Genomic DNA, 22515 nt, shown 5'->3' with positions numbered 1-22515 from the left:
CGAGACCATCCTGGCTAACATGGTGAAACCCTGTCTGTACTAAAAATACAAAAAATTAGCCAGGTGTGGTAGCAGGCGCCTGTAGTCCCAGCTACTCGGGAGGCTGAGGCAGGAGAATGGTGTGAACCTGGGAGGTGGAGCTTGCAGTGAGCCGAGATCGCGCCACTGCACTCCAGCCTGGGCGACAGAGCAAGACTCCATCTCAAAGTAAGTGAATAAATGAAACATAAATGAATTTTATATTTAGACTTGGGTCCCATCCCCAAGATACCTCATTATGTATATGCAAATATTTCAAAATTTAAAAAATTCTGATGAATGAAACACTTCTGGTCTCAAGCATTTTGGATAAGGGATGCTCAATCTGTATCTCTTTATTTACTCCTAAAATCAGCCAAGGAAATGGGCATCTCTCCGTTCCCCCCCTTCCTTTTTTTTTTTTCTTTGTTGTTACATGAGTTGTACTGGTTTCACTTCATTTGACAGTGTTCTGCTAATGACTAGACGTGTATCTCTGACCTGGACTTGTTCTCTGGAGTTCATATTCAGCTGCCCATTTGGCACTTCAAATATAACATGTCCAAAATTAGTTACCTTTTTTTTTTTTTTGAGACAGAGTCTCACTGTCACCCAGGCTGGAGCGCAGTGGCGCAATCTTGGCTTACTGCAACCTCCACTTCCCAGGTTCAAGTGATTCTCGTGCCTCAGCCTCACGAATAGCTGGGATTACAGGTGTCCCCCACCACGCCTGGCTAATTTTTTTTTTTTTTTTTTTTTTGTATTTTTAGTAGAGATGGGGTTTCATCATATTGGACAGGCCTGTGTTGAACTCCTGACCTCTGGTGATCCACCTGCCTCAGCCTCCCAAAGTGCTGGGATTACAGACGTGAACCACTGCCCCAGCCAGTTACCTATTCTTTTGATTACAAGAATGAGTAGCTGGACACAGTGGCTTACACCTATAGTCCCAGCACTTTGGGAGGCTGAGGCCGGCGGATGACTTGAGGCCAGGAGTTCAAGACCAGCTTGACCAACATGGTGAAACCTGTCTCTACTAAAAATACAAAAATTAGCCAGGCGTGGTGGTGCGTGCCTGTAATCCCAGCTACTGGGGAGACTGAGGCAGGAGAATTGCTTGAACCCGGGAGGCAGAGGTTGCAGTGTGCCAAGGTTGAGCCACTGCAGTGCAGCCTGGGCAGCAGAGTGAGACTCCATCTCAAAAAAAAAAAAAAAAAAAAAAAAGAATGAGTATCGGATACAGGTTTAGCCTAGGACTAGGCAGGGCTGCTGGTAATTGTGGAAGTAGTCTCATTGCCTAACCTGAAACTTGCATCCTGGTTACTGGTCTTGCTGGAGAGTCTTGGCTCAGGTTACGTCCCAGGTCTGTTGAGGAGCTCTTGATAGGGAATTAGTTGAAGCAGCTCATACTCTATCCTCCTTTACTGGTATAAATCCATAAAATTGTTTAGTTCCCAGGCTCTGGGGTCCCTGGCCTAGCAGAGAGCACTGCTCCCTTTTTCTCATTCCTTAGTCCCAACAACCCGCACCTGACACTTACTACACGTGGCCTGCTTCCCTGTCCTGTGTGTTTTGGGGGGTGCTGAAGAGGAAGGCTCCTGTGTCTTCAGCACAAACACAATAAACACTTCACAGCAGTACTGGCTTTATGTTTTCCATTTCTGATATCAGAAGTAGGAGCATGACATTGATAGTGTCATTTTGGGGGAACTTTTCGTACTTCATGCAGCAGAGCAGTGAAGAGTGAGCTGAGTGCCTTGGGGTTCTGCAGTACACTCTCAAGTAGTATTTTAGGAAAATGCAATTTGCTGAAAAAATAAAAGAAATTAATGTAAAAAATCCACAAGCTGGGCGCGGTGGCTCACGACTGTCATCTCAGCATTTTGGAAAGCTAAGGGGGAAGGATCACTTGAGCCCAGGAGTTTGAGACCAGGCTGGGCAACATGGCAAGACCTTGTCTCTACAAAAAAATAGAAACAAAAATTAGCCAGGTGCGGTGGCATGTGCCTGTGGTCCCAGCCACCCGGAGGATTGCTCATGCCCAGGAGGTTGAGGCTGCAGTGAGTGGTGATTGTGCCCTGCACTCTAGCCTGAGCAACAGAGCGAGACCCTGTCTCAAAAACAAAACAAAACAAAAACCCACACGTTTCCAGAACCTTCTCATATAACACTTTATTTACATTGTTCTTAAATACGTGTGGGACGGTTATATACATACCACTATACTTATGTGTATATATGTTGATATACACACAAAATTATATACATAATTTTTGTTTGTTTGTTTTTGAGATGGAGTCTCACTCTATCACCTAGGCTGGAGTGCAGTGGCGTGATCTCAGCTCACTCACTGCAACCTCTGCCACCCGGGTTCAAGCGATTCTCCTGCCTCAGGCTTCTGAGTAGCTGGGATTACAGGTGCCTGCCACCGCGCCTGGCTAATTTTTGTATTTTTAGTAGAGACTGGGTTTTACCATGTTGGCCAGGCTGGTCTTGAACTCCCACCCTTGTGATCCACCCACCTCGGCCTCCCAAAGTGCTGGGATTACAGGTGTGAGCCACTGTGACCTGCCATATACATAATTTTTTAAAGTTTCACGATTAGTTTTAGCTTAAAAATGTCAGCTCTGGGCTTAATGAAGAAAATATGGATATACTTTATGTCAATGCATTAAAGTGAATGGCCATAAAAGCTTATCCCAGAGACAAAACAATTCAGATATAAGAGAAGTGGGAGAGTGGAAGGTTTATCTAATCTTCTGTAGGCAACTCCACAGCTACAACCAGAAGGCCATTTTGTTACAGGCCTGAAAGCCCCGTTTTCTTTTTATTCTTCTTTGAAACCTTTAGAAGGAACAAAGTATTGGCTACTTTTTACCGCTGATGTCAGTGTTAAGAATCTTGTGATAACATAGATTTACTCTCCCTGCTGAAAATCACTATGTGGCTCATCAGTAACACAACTAGACATGATGACTTAATGCAAAGGAAGTCCTATGTAAATGAGCAATGAAATTGCAACTGTGTATAAGGAACAAAATAGAATATGAAACTCCAGAATCTTTTGTTTTCATTTCTGTTTCTCCCAAGGCTCTATCATTCAAAACTCCAGAATCTTTCAGCATGCAATTGTCTCCTGATATCAGCCCCTCTCTTGTTTTGTTTTCTTTTTTTTTTTTTTAATCACAGTGAGCCACAACCTAGGAGTCTTTTAGTGGTTTCTACTTGGTTTGCTCTGCAGCCTACCAGCAGATTTCCTACATTCCGGTCTTGTTCCCCTCTAGCCCATTCTCCACACTGCAGTCATAATGAAATTTCTTTCTTTTTTGGGGGGGATGGAGTCTCACTCTGTCACCCAGGTTGGAGTGCAGTGGCATGATCTCGGCTCACTGCCACCTTTGCCTCCTGGGTTCAAGCGATTCTCATGCCTCAGCCTCCCAAGTAGCTGAGATTATACGCACCTGCTACCACGCCCAGCTAATCTTGTATTTTTAGCAGAGACAGGGTTTTGCCACGTTGGCCAGGCTGGTCTCTAACTCCTGACCTCAAGTGATCGCCCACCTTGGCTTTCTCTCTCTTTTTTTTTTTTTGGATTTTGAGACAGGATCTGGCCTCGTTGCCTAGGCTGGAGTGCAGTGGCACGATATCAGCTCACTGCAACCTCTGCCTCCTGAGCTCAAGCCATCCTCCCACCTCAGCCTCCTGAGCAGCTGGGACTGCAGGTGTACACCACCACGCCTGGCTAATTTTTGTATTTTATTTTATTTATTTTTTTGGTAGAGACGGGGTTTTGCTGTGTTGCCCAAGCTTGTCTTGAACTCCTGGGGCTCAAGCGATCTACCCATCTTGGCCTCCCAAGGTGCTGGGATGACAGGCATGAGCCACCACAGCTGGCCTATAATGAAATTTCCAACTTACAGCTATTGCCATTATCCAAAGCCCAGAATCCCTGATTTCCTTCCATAGCCCTTCATGGCCTGACCAGTGCCTGACTCTCCAGCCTCACACTTCATATTCTCTCTGTACTGCTCTGCACTGTAGCCTCATTGAGTTGCTTTCACGTCTTTAAGTGTTGTGTTCTATTTTTTGTGGAATTCAGCATATGTTATGCCCTTGACCTAAGGCCTCTCCTTTCTTTTCCTTCTCTGGGGTGCTGCCTCATCCTTCTGGTCTTCAAAACCGTTTCCCTGGGAAAACATCTTTGACTCAGCAGGCAGGGATCATGCCCCTGCTGTGTCTGTGCATAACTTTCTGTGGCTACTTCTGTCTTGGTCTGTGATGTACTTTATAATAATTTTGGTCTTTCCTCCAGTGTCACAATACTGGAAGTCTGTTTCTTTTTCTCTGTGTTGTATCCTTAGTGCCTGAAAGGTAGGAGGTTCTCAATAAATATTTGTTAAATAATCAAGTAAATGGAGTCTGGTGGAAAAGAGAAAAAATAAGTGTAGAATGTGTGTGCAAGAAAGGAGGGGTAGGGGGATGAAAAAGATAACAAAAGCACATAACAAAACAACAAAAAGCAAAAACAACAAAAAATGCAGATGACAAAAAAGATAACAAAATGATGACTGCTGTGGCAACTTGTAGAAAGTAAGGAAGGTGCTCTCATTCTAGAGAGAAGTAGGCAGCCATTGTAGTTTTTTAAAGAGAGAATATGGGCTGGGCTCTGTGGCCCACGCCTGTAATCCCAGCACTTTGGGAGGCCGAAGTGGGTGGATCACGAGGTCAAGAGATCAAGACCATCCTGGCCAACACAGTGAAACCCCTTCTCTACTAAAAATACAAAAATTAGCTGGATAGGTGGTGTGCACCTGTAGTCCCAGCTACTTGGGAGGCTGAGACAGGAGAATCGCTTGAACCCAGGAGGCGGAGGTTGCAGTGAGCTGAGATCACGCCACTGCATTCCAGCCTGGCGACAGAGTGAGACTCCATTTCAAAAAAAAAAAAAGAATATGGCCAGACACTGAGCTGAGATAGACAGTGCGGCAGTGTCTGGTATTAACTGTAATAAACTCTACTGTCAGAAGCAGGTGGTTTATACTTAAGTTTATTGAGAGAATTGGATATGGATAAGAGATAAACTCTTGGGAAATGGGGAGAAATATAAATTCTGTTGTAAAGCCTGTAAAAAATTGAGATTACTAGTGGTTAGAATTTTGGAAGTGAAGTGCAGTGAAATATTGAGTACCTGAGAGGTTACTTGTTAGTGAAAACACAATAGCAGTAGTACGTAGCTACAGTTTGGCTCCAAAGGAAGAACTGTTTTTACTATAGTTTGTAATGGCTTCAGAATCTTCAATTTGAGATATCCAGTTATTAAAAGAGAATCAATTGCAGTTGAAATGCATTAGTTAAGTATTTTAAAGTGCTTTAGCAAGCTACATTTAAAAAGTGCTTATTATAGAAAATATACCCAAAATAACCAATGATGTTACTGTCTTGTGCTTATTTTTTCTAGACCTATTTTTATACATAGTTAAGATTATACAATATGAATATTTCTGAAATCTATATTTAACATTATAACATATGTATTTTTCCATGTTCTTTCTTTTTTTTTTTTTTTGAGACTGGGTCTCATCCTGTCACCCAGGCTGGAGTGCAGTGGTGCTATCTTGGCTTACTGCAGCCTTGACCTCCTGGGCTCAAGTGATCCTCCCGCCTGAACCTTCTGAGTAGCTGAGACTACAAGCACATGCCACCATGCCTGGCTAATTTTATTTTTACTTTTTGGAGAGATGAGGGTCTCACTATTTTGCCCAGGCTGGTCTCGAACTCCTTGGGTCAAGCAATTCTCTCACCTTGACCTCCCAAAGTGCTGGGATTACAGGAGCGAGCCACCGCCCTCAGCCCCATGTTCTTAAAAACCTTTTGTGAACGACATTTAAAATAGTTGCAGATTTTTTCCCCTGTCTTTGGAAGTGTTACAACATCCAACCATTTCACAGTTACTAATTTACCATCATTCTGGTTTTTGTCCTTGAAAATAAGGCAAGGCTGAATAATGAACATCTTTGTGGCTAAAGTTTTTTTCTTTACTTTGAGTTGTTACCTTCCTTTAGCTTAGTTCAGTGGTTTTTTCTTTTTCTTTTTTGAGATGGAGTCTTGCCTTGTTGCCCAGGCTGGAGAGTAGTGGTGTGATCTCGGCTCACTGCAACCTCCGCCTCCCAGGTTCAAGCAGTTCTCTTGCCTCAGCCTACCGAGTAGCTGGGATTATAGGCGTCTGCTGCCATGCCCAGCTAATTTTTTGTATTTTTAGTAGAGACAGGGTTTTGCCATGTTGGCCAGGCTGGTCTTGAACTCCTGACCTCAGGTGATCCACCCGCCTCTGCCTCTCCAAGTGCTGGGATTACAAGTGTGAGCCACCATGCCCAGCCAGTTCAGTGATTTTCATATTTGAGTGTGTCAGCCTTGCCTGGAAGCCTTGTTAAACACAGACTATTGGATCCCACTGGGCGGATTTCTGTTTGAGCAGGTCTGAGGGGAGACCTGAGCATTTGCATTTTTAACAAATTCCCAGTTGATGATGATGCTGCTGGTTTGGGAACTACACTTTGAGAACTACTGGGCTATATTATTGACAATGAAACTATAATGTTGAGGTTAAGTTCCTAAGTCAGTAGGAGTGATTATGATCTTGAATGAAACTGAGTTCATGTACCAACCTGTATCAGGGAAATTGAAGAACTAAAGGACCATATTGCATTTCAGCACTGAGAATTCGTGCAGTTTGTGAACATGTGAGTGCTGATATGTGCAAGGTTTTTGCTGAGTATTGTGAGGCAAGGATGTTGTAATGAATAAAAAATAGCCCTTTTTGGCTTTTTTTTTCTTCTTTTGAGATGGAGTCTTGCTCTGTCGCCAGGCTGGAGTGCAGTGATGTGATCTCAGCTCACTGCAACTTCCGCCTCCCAGGTTCAAGCGATTCTTCTGCCTCAGCCTCATGAGTAGCTGGGACTACAGGTGCCCGCCACCACGCCTGGCTAATTTTTTGTATTTTGGTAGAGACTGGGTTTCACCATGTTTGCCAGGATGGTCTCCATCTCCTGACCTTGTGATCCCCCTGCCTTGGCCTCCCAAAGTGCTGGGATTACAGGCGTGAGCCACCGTGCCCAGCCCGGCCTTTTTTCCCCCGCCTAGAGATGGAGTCTTGCTCTGTCGCCCAGGCTAGAGTGTAGTGGTGCAATCTCAGCTCCCTGCAACATCTGCCTCCTGGGTTCAAGCGATTCTCCTGCCTCAAACTAGCTGGGATTACAGGCATGCACCACCATGCCCGGCTAATTTTGTATTTTTAGTAGAGACAGGGTTTCACCATGTTAATCAGGCTGGTCTGGAACTCCTGGCTTCAGGTGATCCTTGGCCTCCCAAAGTGCTGGGATTACAGGTGTGAGCCACCATGCATGGCCTCATTTGGGAAACTTTTGATATCAGAATCTTAGGTTTTTCATTAGAGATTGTCAGATTTCCATATTCCTCTGGAAGGTAAAGGCCTAATTGCTAGCATTCTGGAAGCCAGTTAGGGTAGGAGGGTAGGAGGGTAGGGTATTGGGTAGAGGATAAAGAAGGGGTTTGGGAAAGGTGGGGGGTGTCTCTTGGCAGTTGTATGGTTAAATTGAGTTTTTGTTTTATTTAGTGATATGTGTTTTTTGGGTACATGTGATATTTTGATACCTGTGTATAATATGTAGTGATCAAATCAGGGTGATTGGGATACCCATCATTTGAAACATCTTTTCTGTGTTAGGAATATTACAAGTCTTCTAGCTGTTTTGAAGTATACAATAAATTGTTAACTATAATTTCTGTACTGTACTATCAAATATTAGAACTTACTAATCAAACTGTATTTTTGTAACACTAACCACTTTCTGTTCATCTCCACCACTCCCACTTCCCTTCTCAGCCTCTGGTAACCACCATTCTGCTGTCTACCTCCACGAGATCCACTTTTTTAGCTTCCACACATGAGTAAGAGTCTTTCTTTTAAAACTGGTTTTGTGAGCATATTTAACATCAGTAGCAATAAACTTGTATTTTAAGCTCCTGTTGCTGTATTTTGAGGACCTTCTAAGTCCATTGGAAGGATTTTGAATACCATAGTGTCTGCAGTGATAGTTGTTGAAAGAAAGGGAAGGCATCAGTGCAAATATTTTTAGACAGTTTTTAAAGAGACTCAAGTCACCCAATTTGTCTTCTAAAAATCCTGATTTTGGAAGAGGCAGTGGAGTTTCTGTTGATAAAAAATGATTTATAGTTTGTGCTTGGCACTTCCTAATGGATTACATCAGGAAAGATTTATTGTCTGGCACTCTCATTTTAACGATACTACAATTGATTATTAGGTTTAGATGCTAATACCTTTTTTACCTTTATTTCAGAGAAGCTTGATTCTTTGCTCTCAGACTACGATATTCTCTCTTTATCTAATATCCAGCAGCATTCGGTAAGAAAAAGAGATCTACAGACTTCAACACATGTAGAAACACTACTAACTTTTTCAGCTTTGAAAAGGTAATTTGAATTATTCATGGAATAATGTTGGGGCACTGGGGGCTTGGTTTGGCAAAAACAAAAAAGTAAGGGTATCTACTGAAATCTTGGGAAATTACATTTTAAAGATTTGTAATTAATTTCCAGTATAATGCTTATTCTAAAATTCATACTGGGGCTGGGTGCAGTGGCTCACGCCTATAATCCGAGCACTTTGGGGGGCCAAGACATGTGGATTGCTTGAGCTCAGGAGTTTGCCCAAGCTCAGCCTGGGCAACATGGCAAAACCCCGTCTCTACTAAAAGTACAAAAATTAGGCATGGTGACACGTGCCTGTAATCCCAGCTACTTGGGAGGCTGAGGCAGGAGAATCACTTGAACCAGGGAGGTGGAGGCTGCACTAGCCGAGATGGTGCCACTGCACTCCAGACTGGGCAACAGAGTGAGACTCTGTCTCAAAAAATAAATAAATAAAATAAATAAAGTTCATACTGATGAGTATTTTTAAAAAAGTAAATAGATATTGCAGAGGTGTTAATGATGGTAACGATGTTTAGAAAATTCTAACATAATTTAAATTAATTGAATGCTTATAAAACCTTTTGTTTTTGGTGCTACTTTATAACCATCAATCATGTGCTAAATATTATCTTTATATATGAAGAGATAAAGATTTTGTTCAGGACCCCACAGCCTGGTGGTGAGCTGGGTCTAGATTTTACTGTTCTATTTATTTATTTAGCTAACTAGTTACTTAGTTTCCAGGATTCTTTAACCTGCTTCATATTTATTTATTTTTAAAAACAGGGTCTTGCCATGTTGCCAAGGCTGATCTTGAACTTCTGGGCTCAGGTGGTCTTTCCATCTTGGCCTCCCAAAGTGCTGGGATTACAGGTGTGAGCCACCATGCCTGGCCCAAATTTAATATTCTTTCTACATTGAGTTCCTCTTACTTCTTAGCATAAATTGATGGATATGTTCTATTTCAGTAGTAATTTTAATACCACGTATTGTTTTGCACATTGAAATGTTAAATAATTGCAGGCCTCTTTTTAAAGTCTTTAGGAAGCTTTATTCAGTATCAAAAAACAGACACATGGAGAATTGACTGAATTATTCTTTATTTATTTATTTTTTTGAGAGTCTTGCTCTGTCGTCCAGGCTGGAGTGCAGTTGTGTGATCTTGGCTCACTGCAACCTCTGCCTCCTGGGTTCAAGCGATTCTTGTGCCTCAGCCTCTCAAGTAGCTGGGACTACAGGTGCACAGCACCACGCCTGGGTGATTTTTGTTATTTTTAGTAGAGACAGAGTTTCACCATGTTGGCCAGGCTGGTCTTGAACTCCTCACCTCAAGTGATCCACGATCTCGGCCTCCCAAAGTGCTGGGATTACAGACAGGGGCCACTGCATCTGGCCATCTTTATTCTTTATATAGGACAAGCCTTCTCAACTATGTTAAAAAATAAAAGGAATATGTGCGTCTGGTTTAAAAAACAAGCCATGGAGGATATGCAAAGTTTTTACTTCTAACTCAGTTAGACTTCTCAGACCCAGAGAGGTTTCCTTTGTAAACTTCCAATTTTTTGTTTTGTTTTGTTTTTTGTTTTTTGAGACAGAGTTTTTGCTCTTGTCGCCCAGACTGGAGTGCAATGGCACGATCTTAGCTCACTGAAGCCTCCACCTCTCGGGTTCAAGCAGTTCTCCTGCCTCAGCTTCCCGAGTAGCTGGGATTACAGGAGCCCACTGCCATGCTCAGCTAATTTTTGTATTTTTAGTAGAGATGAGGTTTCACCATGTTGGCCAGGATGGTCTTGAACTCCTGACCTCAGGTGATCCACCTGCCTCAGGCTCCCAATGTGATGGGATTACAGGTGTGAGCCACCGTGCCCGACCCAAAATATTTTAATGCATGTTTTTTGCCTATAGGTCTCTGTGTGTGTATAGGTGATATAGATAGCATATTTACCTCATTTTAAACAGCTGCATAAATATTCCTATTGCATAGAATTGTAACAACATACTGACTAATACACTACAGATGGATATTGTTTAACCAAAGTGATTTTTTTAATACAACAAACAGTGCTCTAGTGAGTATCTTTGTAAATGTGTACCTTGATGAGGTGTTTTTATAGGATATATTCCTGGAAGGAGAATTACTGGGTCAAGGATATGTATACTATGTTTATTGATATTGCTCTTTCCTCCCAAAGAGATTTGACAAATTTATTCTTCCAGCAGCAATATATGAGTTTACCTGTTTCCTGTTATCTTTGCCAATAGTAGGTTTATCAGCCTTTAACTGTCACCCCTCTAAAGGGCATGGCATTTTATAGTTGTTTTGATTTTCATTTTGTGTGACATTGAGCATCTTTTTATATATTTGTAAGTAATTTGTTTTATATTTCTGTAAACTGCCTTTTTATCTCTTTTGACTATTTTTCTATTGAATTTGTCTTTCTAACTACTGAATTGTAGCAGTGCTTAGTATATTAAGGAGATTGGTTCATTGTCATGTGGTTATTTTAGGCAAATTTTTAATGCAAATTAATTTTTCCTAGCTATTGCAATTATCCTTAGGTTATTTTTTAATGACTTCTTTTTATTCGATTTTATGTCAGAATATTATAGTATTGGTTATTAGCTTTCAACTTACACCAAATTTGAGCAGATTGGTAATATTAATAGCTACAGTTAATCAGGTACTTATTTTCTGTAATTTACTGGCATTTTACATAAGTTATCTCTAAAAGTGATTCCTTTTTTGAAGGAACAAAAAAAAAAAAATTAAGGCTTAGACAGCTTAGTAACTTGCCCAAGATTACTCAGCTAGTAAATGACAGATACAAGATTTGAACAAAGGTTGGACTCCAAAACTTGTGTTATTTCTGCTATACTGGTGGAGAGTTTGGTGAAGAAGTGGATATAGTAGCAAGAAATAAGTAGGAGCGAAGGAAGAGTGAGGAAACTATAAAATGAAAAGAACTCAAAGTTTAGCTTTTTGGGTTTCTTTGGATTTGAAGTGGCCTGTAGAATCCGTATTCTAGAGGCAAAAACTTCCATAGCCTTACATATTTCTCTTTCAAGTTTCGTAGATGACATTGATTCCCTAAGAAAATATTAAATCGTAGCCACTTGTTATCTTTTCTCTGTGTAAGAAAGCAGGGAAGTATGTAATTTATTTTACAAAGTTTCCATACTAAATATTTAATGGGAAATTTATCTAACAGTCTATGGAATTTTATACCAGGTGTTTTAAAATAGGTTATTTCCTTTAATCCCCAAAACCGTTCAGTTATTAGGTGATATTATTTCCATTTGTAGATAAATACTTAGGATTCAAAGATTGAGGCCAAGGTCGGACAGTGAGTAAATGAAAGTAGGACTTAAGCCAAGTTTGTCAGACTCCAAAGCCCATACCCTTTCTTTTCTATCATATTGCGTCATTAAAGTTTAAAACAAGAACAAAAACAAAGATAGCTGAAGTAATCAGTTTGTATCAGGGCTGAATTAACTCTATGAAACCCCTCATTACTTGATGGTAAATGAGAAGATTCCGTTTTTCGATAGCAGTGGAAGGCAAAGTAATTTAAACCAAGATCATTGCATTAAATTTGGATGTAACTATTAGAGGTTGAAAAAGCATAGAAACACTGAGAGGTTGTATGAAGAGTTGAAGTAACTTAAGAAAAAAAGAAACTTGTTTAAAATTTGCCTTACAAGTTTCATTTCCTTTTTGTTATAAATCAAGAAATTATCAGCTAGGCGTGGTGACTCACACATGTAATCCCAGCACTTTGGGAGGCCGAGCTGGATGGATCATGAGGTCATGAGGTCAGGAGATCGAGACCATCCTGGCTAACACGGTGAAACCCCGTCTCTACTAAAAATACAAAAAATTAGCCAGGCGTGGTAGCAGGCGCCTGTAGTCCCAGCTATTTGGGAGGCTGAGGCAGGGGAATGGCGTGAACCCAGGAGGTGGAGCTTGCAGTTAGCCGAGATTGCGCCACTGCACTCCAGCCTGGGCGACAGAGTGAGACTCCGTCTCAAAAAAAAAAAAAAATCAAGAAATTATCTTATTTTTAAATAACGAAAAAGCTGCGGAGTATATACTGTTTTGATACTTTTTTGATGTTGCCTGAATTTTTTTGGAAAAAGTTAAATGTTTCTCCTAAAAGTGAAATATATCAGATTACTTGAGAAGGTCTAGAACTGATAAAGAAATGAAAGTGATATACCTGACTAAATGGACCATTAAAAATGGTTAGGGTAATAATGTTAATTCAAACTGGTTAGCTGGTCTTTAGTTACTGTAAATTCTTAAGTCAAAAGTCAGAAAGATAAAACGTTAAAGAAATCTGTAAGAAAATGACTTCACATAATTTTGGGAGGATAAAGTAAAAGAAATTTTGACATTCTGTTGGACGTTTTATAACTCAAAAGCTAATATTGGAAAATCAAAAAACATGAATTTTATAATCGCTTGGTCTTTATCTTTAGAAAAGATTCTTAATGTAGCAAATGAAAAATGCAATTCCACTGATTTCTTTCTGAAAAGAACATTAAGTAATGTTGCAACTCTTAGCTTTAAAACAAAATAATAAGACATTTATAATAAGTATGCTTTTGAAAGTTCTCAGCATAACTGGAGGGAAAAATCATAACTGAGAATGTGTGGGAAGATATGTTTTAGGATAGCAGAAGAAAATGTTCCAAGGATTTACGAAATAATGTTCTATTGTCTTTTCCCTTTGACCATTAAAAAACCACAAGCAAACTAAAATTACCTTGTTATGCTCAAAAAGTTAAAAATATTTGTTGCCATGGAGATAGTCCCAGTCTAGATTTCTTTCCGGTAGTTTAAAGACTTTTGCAATCCCATGGGGAAGTAATATATTTTCAGTACAACAGCTGACAAAATTTGTTTCTGTGGGTGAGATGAATAATATACCTTTCTTTGTCTTTGGTGTTCATGGACACATTGAAAGACTATAAATAATACTTGAGAAAGTCTTGCTCACCACTCCTAGTTTTCATGTAAGGATGGAAAGTCATAGAAAACAAAAAGAATAGTAAGCCAATTAAAGAACTGGACTGAAACTCAACAAAAAGAATAGTAAGCCCACTAAAGAACTGAAGTGTATACCCCCTCCCCTCTCCTCCCCTCCCTTCCCCTCCCCTCCCTTCCCCTCCCTTCCCCTTCCCTTCCCCTCTCTTCCCCCTCCCCTTCCCCTCTCCTCCCCCTCTCCTCCCCTCTCCTCCCCCTCTCCTCCCCTCCCCTCCCCTCCCCTCCCCTCTTTTCCTGTCTTCTGGTGCCAATGGAGTCTATATTCTAATGTCTGTCTTAGATACCTTGTATTTATTTTCCTAACTGTAATTGTGGGTTACTTTTTTGCAAGATATGTTGTTTTGAGGAGGAAAAAAAGCACGAGTACTTTTTTTTTTTCTTATTTTGAGCGGGAGTCTCGCGCTGTCAACCAGGCTGGCGATCTCGGCTCACAGCAGGCTCCGCCTCCCGGGTTCACTCCATTCTCCTGCCTCAGCCTCCCAAGTAGCTGGGACTATAGGCACCCGCCACCATGCCTGGCTAATTTTTGTATTTTTAGTAGAGATGGGGTTTCGCTGTGTTAGCCAGGATGGTCTCGATCTCCTGACCTCGTGATCCGCCCAGCTCAACCTCCCAAAGTGCTGGGATTACAGGCGTGAGCCACTACGCACGGCCGCATGAGTACTTTTAAATATAGAAAGCAGCATTTATTAATTTTGCACAGCAATAAGAATTTTCTCATAGTCCACCCAGCTTGATAGAGACAGCATAGTACAGGGTTTTGAAATAAACCAGGTTTATTTCCCAGTTTCACCATTTACTAGCTGTGTAACTTTGAGTAGGTTGATTAGCTTCCAAGCCTCAATTTGTACTTGTGTGAAGTGGGGATAATAGATGCATAGTACCTAACACCAAGTAGGTGTTCAATAAATGGTATATAATAGGATTAGTTTTTGATAATAATTTTTTTAGATAATCAGGATTCCAACTTAACTACGCAGTCATGTGTGTTTCCTTATTCTTCAGTGTTTTCCAGGAGAGATGAATGTATAAGTTCTTTGAATATCTTTACCCTAGTGTGAGTTTATTGTGATCTGCTGTTTTTATAGCTAAATAAATTAGTTCATTTGTCGTTACAGGAGATATATTGCTCTAAGTACCTAATAAGACTTTAGTTGTAACTTGCATAGTGTTTTATTAATGTCAATGCTTCTGGCTTTTTAAGAAAGTTTAATTATGTGAAAATGAGACTTAAAATTTGTGTGCTTAGAGTAAAATATGAATGCATTTTTCTTCAGGCATTTTAAATTATACCTGACATCAAGTACTGAACGTTTTTCACAAAATTTCAAGGTCGTGGTGGTGGATGGTAAAAACGAAAGCGAGTACACTGTAAAATGGCAGGACTTCTTCACTGGACACGTGGTTGGTTAGTATGGAGCTTGTTGGTTTGCCCCTGTGTCTGGTGTATTAGGTCTCCAAATCTAACTTGATTGCATATTCTTTTCTGGTGCAGGATAGTGGGGACGGGGTGTCATAGAAGTGCTATTCTTTGACTTTTCTTTGAGGTATATAAGTTTAGAGGCAGGAACATTCTAATAGAAGGAAATGAGTATTATCTAAATGTCATACTAGCTGGCTGGTTTAATGATTAAAATTAAATTCTTCTTAAGTGATAGGAATTTAACCTTTCTTTTCCTCAGTGACTGTAAGCTTTCTTTATGATATTTTAAACAGGGAAGCTTGGAGATAAAATACTTGGTGATCCTATTACGTATGTATTTGAGAAAATTTATCAAACAAGCAATTGCAGTTTACTTTTTGACCTTTTTCTGCAATGAGAAAAAAAAATGTCATTGAAATCCACAAATAGTATAGTTCCTAGGCCTGTACATTCTAAATCATGCTTTCTGTCTCTCTTAGTTCTTCCTTTACCTAGAAGTAGATAAAATTATTCCAGAAGAAAATCTTAGCAGTTTTGTTTGTTTTGGGAAAGGGATAGGTTTCAAGTGACTAAACTTGAGGCTACCCCTTAGGAGTTGAGATTATCTAGCTTCTTTCTGGAGCCTTTGTTTCTTGTTTTGCAGAGCTCTCACAGTACTAGGCAAATTCCACCCTGAAGGATTTAATTTTTATTGAGAGTAATGCATAGTTTCTTATTTGATGTAAGTATTTTTAAATAATAATTTTTTTTTTCTCTTAAGGTGAGCCTGACTCTAGGGTTCTAGCCCACATAAGAGATGATGATGTTATAATCAGAATCAACACAGATGGGGCCGAATATAACATAGAGGTAAATTTATATGTGAATTTTTTTTCAGTAGCTTATATCTCTGATTTTCAAAAAGCTGCTCAGTTCTGCAAAGGTGAAAAGTAATTATACTTATTTCTTTCCTCTTCGTATTTGAAGTTTTTTACTAGGAAAGTAGACTTTTTAAAAAAGGATAATCTCTAAGAAGCTGTGTTATGATACACCCTGTATTTCTAAGTACCATAATTGAGAGAGTTACATGTGGGATGGATAATAGGAAGAGAAAACTTTCTTTCCCTCCTGACTCATTTTTTAATTCTTTCTCAAATAATAAATGTAAACATCCTCAGAAATGAAAAGTGAAGTATTATTTTTCAATTTCTCTGTTTTTCTGCTAGACACACTGGAAATGCTAGATCAATGAAAGGTGGTAGTTCATAGTCTGAGAAGTTAAAGAGGAAGCTAGGAAAGTCAGGCTGTGGTCACTCTTCCATTGAAAGAGTAGCAATAGAAATCAAGACCACAGTGGCTGCATTGGTTAAGACACATATCTATCTGTCAGATATTAGTCTACAAAACAAAACGTTTCCTCATAATTGTGAATTGAAGTTGATTCTGTGTTTCCTGAAAAATGAGAAGACTCTGGGTGGTGGTGGTGATATCACTAAAATAGATCACCTGTGGGAAAACTGAGTAAGATTGGTCAAAATGAAATGTTCAGGTGTATTTGAGTGCTTAATAGGGGTAAAACAGTCTGCTGGAGCTATATATACTATATGTTTTAATTATATCCAATCTACATGACTGTTAGTCCTTTGACTGTCCATTATTGTGAAAAAGAAACCTATGGCCTTGCAGTATGTTATAGTTTGTTAATGTTTAAGCTATTTAATGTCAATGTTTTGAGGAGTCTGGCCTACCAGAAAGAGTCAGAAATTTAGTAGAAAGTAAAGGAACTAATATTATAAATGCATTCATTCTAGAATAGGCAAAGCATCACTGGAATGTCTTAAATTTGCCTGTTCTTTCAAATCAATTTATTTTTTAAGAATACCTTTATTTTAAAATATATGCTCATTGCAAAATTCGGAAAATAGATTATCTGTACTTGGACAGATAACTACTATTGACATTTTGACAGACATCCTTCCAAATTTTTTTTTCTATGTGTAAATACACAAATAAATATAGTTATACCCACTATTTTTTCCTGCAAAACTAGGACCATACAATATGTACAGTTTGTCTTCACACATTTTTCGTTTAACAATATGATTATGAACCTTTTCGTGTTAATATAGATCTAAATTAGGGTTTTGTTTGTTTGTTTGTTTGTTTTTTGAGACGGAGTCTTGCTCTGTCACCCAGGCTAGAGTGCAATGGCGTGATCTTGGCTCACTATAACCTCTGCCTCCCCGGTTCAGGCGATTCTCCTGCCTTAGCCTCCCAAGTAGCTGGGACTGCAGGTGTGCGCCATGATGTCCGGCTAATTTTTTTTCTTTTTTTTGAGATGGAGTATCACTCTGTCACTCAGGCTAGAGTGCACTGGCGTGGTCTCGGCTCACTGCAACCTCTGGCTCCTGGGTTCAGGCGGTTCTCCCGCCTTAGACCCTTGAGTAGCTCAGACTACAGGCACATGCTACCTCACCTGGCTAATTTTTGTATTTTTAGTAGAGACGGGGTTTCACCATGTTGGCCAGGATGGTCTCGATCTCCTGACCTCATGATCTGCCAGCCTCGGCCTCTGAAAAGTGCTGGGATTATAGGCGTGAGCCACTGTGCCTGGCCTCAACTGTTTTGTTTCTAACTTTTGAAATAAAAGGTATTGTAGTGAACAGCCTTGGGCACACCTTTTGGTGCATGTGTTTAGTTGGAATAGTCTGGATGATAGGTAATAGTCTGGGAAGTTAAATGAAGAAACTGTAGGAAGCTCTGTCTAGGCTGTGCGAGGGCTTCAGATAAACTCCCATAGCTGAGTAGCTTAACACAAGCAAAGTTTTTTCTTACTCTCCTGTGGCTTGATGTGGGTTAGGTGGTTCTCCTCTACTTTGTGGCTTTGACTTTTGGACACATGTCCTCTGTAGTTCTCACAGAAAGAAAACAGAGCTAGAGAATTATACAGGATATTAAGGGCCAGGCTTGGAAATGGCCTTCCGTTCAATACATTCTAGAACACTTTATCTCTGACCTGCTACAAAGGAGAATGGAAAAGATAGTCGTAATTTGAGCTCAGAAAGAGAAAATAGTGTGGTAAATGCACAGCATTGTTTTTGCTGCAGTGCATATGTCTGCTTATTTCCTTAGAATAATTTATTCTTTTTTGTTTTTTTGAGACTGAGTCTCACTCTGTTACCAGGCTGGAGTGCAGTGGCGTGATCTCAGCTCACTGCAGACTCTGCCTCCTGGGTTCAAGCCATTCTCCTGCCTCAGCCTCCCGAGTAGCTGGGATTACAGGTGCGCACCACCACACCCAGCTAATTTTTGTATTTTTGGTAGAGACAGGGTTTCACAATGTTGGCCAGGATGGTCTCGATCTCCTGACCTCATGATCTGCCAGCCTCGGCCTCTGAAAGTGCTGAGATTAAAGGCGTGAGCCACTGTGCCTGGCCAGCTTATTAATTCTTAAGCCAAAATATGTGTCTTTAGGATCCAAGTTAAATTTGCTCAGATTACATTTTTTTTTTTTTAAGATGGCATCTCGCCCTGTCACCCAGACTGGAGTGCAATGGCGCGATCTCGGCTCACCACATCCTCTGCCTCCCAGGTTAAAGCGATTCTCCTGCCTCAGTCCCTTGAGTAGCTGGAATTACAGGCGTGTGCCACCATGCCCCGTTAATTTTTGTAGTTTTAGTAGAGATGGGGTTTCACTGTGTTGGCCAGGCTGGTCTTGAACTCCTGACCTCGTGATCTGCCCATCTTGGCCTCCCAAAGTGCTGAGATTATAGGCATGAGCCACCACGCCCAGCTAGATTACTCATTTTTTTCAAATACTTCCTTTTGGAAAAATAGGAATTCTGTTTCCATCCATACCTTTGTTTCACTAAGTACAAAAATGAGTATAACTAATATTTCATTGTAAGATATTTACTTAGCCAGGCACAGTGGCTCACACTTGTAATCAGCACTTTGGGAGGCTGAGGCGGGTGGACTGCTTGAGCCCAGGAATTTGAGACCAGCCCAGGCAATATAGGGAGACCTTGTCTCTACTCCTCCACAAAAAAAAAAAAAAAAAAAAAATTAGCTGGGCATGGTGGCACATGCCTGTGGTCTCAGCTACTTAGAATGCTGAAGCAGTAGGATCAGTTGAATTCGGAAGGCGGAGACTGCAGTGAGCTGAGATTGTACTGCTGCACTCCAGCCTGGGTGACAGAGCGAGACCCTATCTCACACATACACACACACAAAGATGTTTACTTACAAGTATACTCATCAGATACCTTGAGGGACTTTTGCATGAAATTAATAATGTTTATTGAAAAAATGATTTACTACTTACAGGGGTGATTTTCATACTCTTTATAATTCTTTTGATACTTTTATAGTTCATAAGTGTGGTGATTGGCTGTTCACACACACATATGAGATGTACCACCCTAGAACCTTGTTACAATGTTAGCACATTACCAGTCTGACATGAAAAAAAATAATTCTTTACACTTACCTTGATGCAAAAACATTGTCTATCTGCACTAATATCTTAGGAATATAAGTGAGCAGGAAAAAATATATATCTTATTTTTAACACATCATCATTAAATATTTTGTTTATGACAGTCTTACTTGGTCACTCAGGCTGAAGTGCAGTGGTGCCATCATAGCTCACTGCAGCCTTGACCTCCTGGGCTCAAACAATCCCTCTTTTCTGCCTCCTGAGTAGCTGGGACTACAGGTGCATGCCACCATGCCCAACTAATTTGTTAAATTTTTGTAGAGTGTATCAGATTTTTGATGAGGTCTCACTGTGTTGCCCAGGCTGATCTCAAATGTCTGACTGTAAGCAATCCTCTTGCTTGGCCTCCCAAAGTGCTGGGATTACAGGTGTGAGCCACTGTGCGCAGCCGTTAAATATTTTAAACCGTCACTGACTTTACCATAGCTTACTATTTATATAAATAATCCTGGGTTAAACTTGCATAGTGAGATAATATTTCCCCCAACTTTTATTTATTTATTTGAGATGGAGTCTTGCTCTGTCGCCCAGGCTGGAGTGCAGTGGCGCAATCTCGGCTCACTGCAGTCTCCGCCTCCCAGGTTCAAGCATTTCTCCTGCCTCAGCCTCCCAAGTAGCTGGGATTACAGGCACACGCCACTGTGCCCGGCTAGTTTTTATATTTTTGGTAGAGACAGGGTTTTGCCACGTTGGCCAGGCTGGTCTTGAACTCCTGGTCTCAGGTGATCCACCCGCGTCGGCCTCCCAAGGTGCTGGGATTACAGGCATGAGCCACTGCATCCGGCCTAATTTTTGTATTTTTAGTAGAGACGGGGTTTCACCATGTTAGTGAGGCTGGTCTTGAACTTCTGACCTTGTGATCTGCCCACCTCGGCCTCCCAAAGTGCTGGGATGACAGACGTGAGCCACCATGCTTGGCCTCCCCCAGCTTCTAGTTTTAAAAATGTTCAGCTGGTGCAGTGGCTCATGCCTGTCATCCCAGCACTTTGGGAAGCTGAGGTGGGTGGATCACTTCAGGCCAGGAGTTCGAGGCCAGCCTGGCCAACATGGTGAAACCTCGTCTCTACTAAAAATACAAAAATTAGCCAGGCTTGGTGGCTTGCGCCCGTAATCCCAACTGCTCGGGAGGCCTAGGTGGGAGAATCGCTTGAACCTGGGAGACAGAGGTTGCAGTGAGCTGAGATCGCTCCACTGTACTCCAATGTGGGTGACAGGGTGAAACTCTGTCTCAGAAAAAAATAAAAAAGAAAATGTGCAAATCTACAGAAAGATTAAAAAGTACCCTGTAGTTACAGAAAGATTTTTTTAAAAAATACCCTGTAGCCCTTAAACAATTTCTAACATAATGTCCTGTTAGCTTTCTCTCTTTTTTTCGTGAATCATATGAAAATCATTTGCAAACATCATGACCCTTCACCCCTAAATACTTCTGTATGCATCCTTAGGAATAAAGGCACTCTTTTCTATAGCTGTAATAAAAGTAACATACCTGAGAAAATGACAAGAATTCTACAATATTATCTAATAATCATGCCATAGTCAAAATCTCTAGTCATCCTCAAAATCTCCTTTGTAGATTTTTTTTGGTTTTCCAGTCCAGGATCCAATCCAGTTTTCTGCCTTTTAGTCAATTACTCATCAAATTATTTTTTCCAGCAACTTACTAGTAATAATGGTAATAGCCTTAGCTTTTATTAATAACAACCACTTTTCTTTTGAAATGTTAATATAAAACTAGATTTATTACCTACATAATCTTCATAATCTTCAAGTTAGGTATTATCACTACTTTACCTAATGAGGGAGGTTATGCTCAGGGTACTTGTCCAAGGCACATAGTGAGGTATGGTTGAGGTTTGAACTCAGATATATCTGATCCCAAAGCCAGCTGTCTTTTTCTGTGCTGGACTGACTATACTAGGAAACAATCAATGTGAACTTAGAAATGTTTGACCCAAAAGAAAAAAAATTTCACTCCTATTCATAGGCTAAATGAACTTTACTAAATATGGAAGATTCCTGTAGCCCGGAAGTTGGGTTAGTTAACTTTTGAGATCTCTGCCAACCCTGAAATTCTGTAACCCTTGTTTCTTACATCTGCCTCATACATGGATTACCAAAGATGTATATGCATATAATATTTAACAGTTTTATTGAGATAAAATTCACATACTATATTATTCACCCACTTAATGTATACAATTTTGTAGTTTTGTGTGTGTGTGTGTGTGTGTGTATTTTTGAGATGGAGTCTCACTCTGTCACCCAGGCTGGAGTGCAGTGGCACGATCACTGCAACCTCTGCCTCCTGGGTTCAAGTGATTCTGTGGCCTCAGCCTGTTGAGTAGCTGGGATTACAGGCGCCCACCACCATGCCCGGCTGATTTTTGTGTTTCAGTAGAGATGGGGTTTCACCGTGTTGGTCAGGCTGTTCTCGAACTCCTGGACTCAAGTTATCTGCCCACCATGGCCTCCCCAAAGTGCTGAGATTACAGGCGTGAGCCATCGCGCCCGGCAGTTTTCGTATATTGATGGAGTTGTGCAAACACCACCTCATTCAATTTTAGAACATTTTTATCACCTGAAAAAGAAACGCTGTATCCTTTAGCCATACTTCCCCCTTCCTCCCTAACTCCCCCAGCTCTAGGCAACCAGGGATCTACTGTCTATTTAGATTTGTCTGTTTGGGTCATCTCATATAAATGGAATTACATAACATGTCTTTTGTGTGTGGCTTCAATTTTTTTATTTTTTTGAGATGGAGTCTTGCTCTGTCACCCAGGCTGGAGTGCAGTGGCATGATCTCAGCTCACTGCAACTTTTGCCTCCTGGGTTCAACTGATTCTCTTGCCTCAGCCTCCCAGGTAGCTGGGATTACAGGCTCCTGCCACCATGCCTGACTAATTTTTGTATTTTTTACTAGAGTCGGGGTTTCACTATGTTGGCCAGGCTGTTCTCAAACTCCTGACCTCAAGTGATCCACCTGCCTCGGCCTCCCGAAGTGCTGGGATTAAAGACATGAGCCACCACGCCCAGCCT

The 22515-nt window shown here is 40.8% G+C and overlaps 1 protein-coding gene and 1 non-coding gene across 5 annotated transcripts in view, besides 1 other annotated feature; both read left to right on the top strand.

Annotated features, from left to right (window-relative positions):
- ADAM17 (ADAM metallopeptidase domain 17) overlaps window positions 1–22515 on the top strand; it is a 67345-nt gene that overhangs the window by 4149 nt on the left and 40681 nt on the right. For 3 of the 4 annotated variants that reach the window (NM_003183.6, NM_001382777.1, NM_001382778.1), the window contains exons 2-4: window positions 8397–8529; window positions 14854–14984; window positions 15760–15848. In NM_003183.6, the coding sequence (NP_003174.3) occupies window positions 8397–8529; window positions 14854–14984; window positions 15760–15848 (353 nt within the window). Of the gene's footprint in view, window positions 1–7921; window positions 7987–8396; window positions 8530–14853; window positions 14985–15759; window positions 15849–22515 lie in introns of all 4 variants that reach the window. The other variant, XM_047445610.1, reaches the window with a different exon arrangement.
- Window positions 9728–9907: an enhancer, noted in NCBI's record as "active region_15279". NCBI's record gives its function as "activates an Ori minimal core promoter by ATAC-STARR-seq in GM12878 lymphoblastoid cells {active_cell/tissue: GM12878}" and the evidence as "EXISTENCE:reporter gene assay evidence [ECO:0000049][PMID:35858748]".
- On the top strand, window positions 19337–19440 carry LOC124906162 (small nucleolar RNA U13). The gene has a single exon (XR_007088750.1). It is a non-coding gene; the product is annotated as a small nucleolar RNA U13 (small nucleolar RNA).

This window comes from Homo sapiens, chromosome 2, assembly GCF_000001405.40.
Source record: "Homo sapiens chromosome 2, GRCh38.p14 Primary Assembly".
Taxonomy (NCBI): domain Eukaryota; kingdom Metazoa; phylum Chordata; class Mammalia; order Primates; family Hominidae; genus Homo; species Homo sapiens.
Note: the sequence above shows the minus strand (reverse complement) of the source record. Positions and strands in the feature narration are given on the sequence as shown.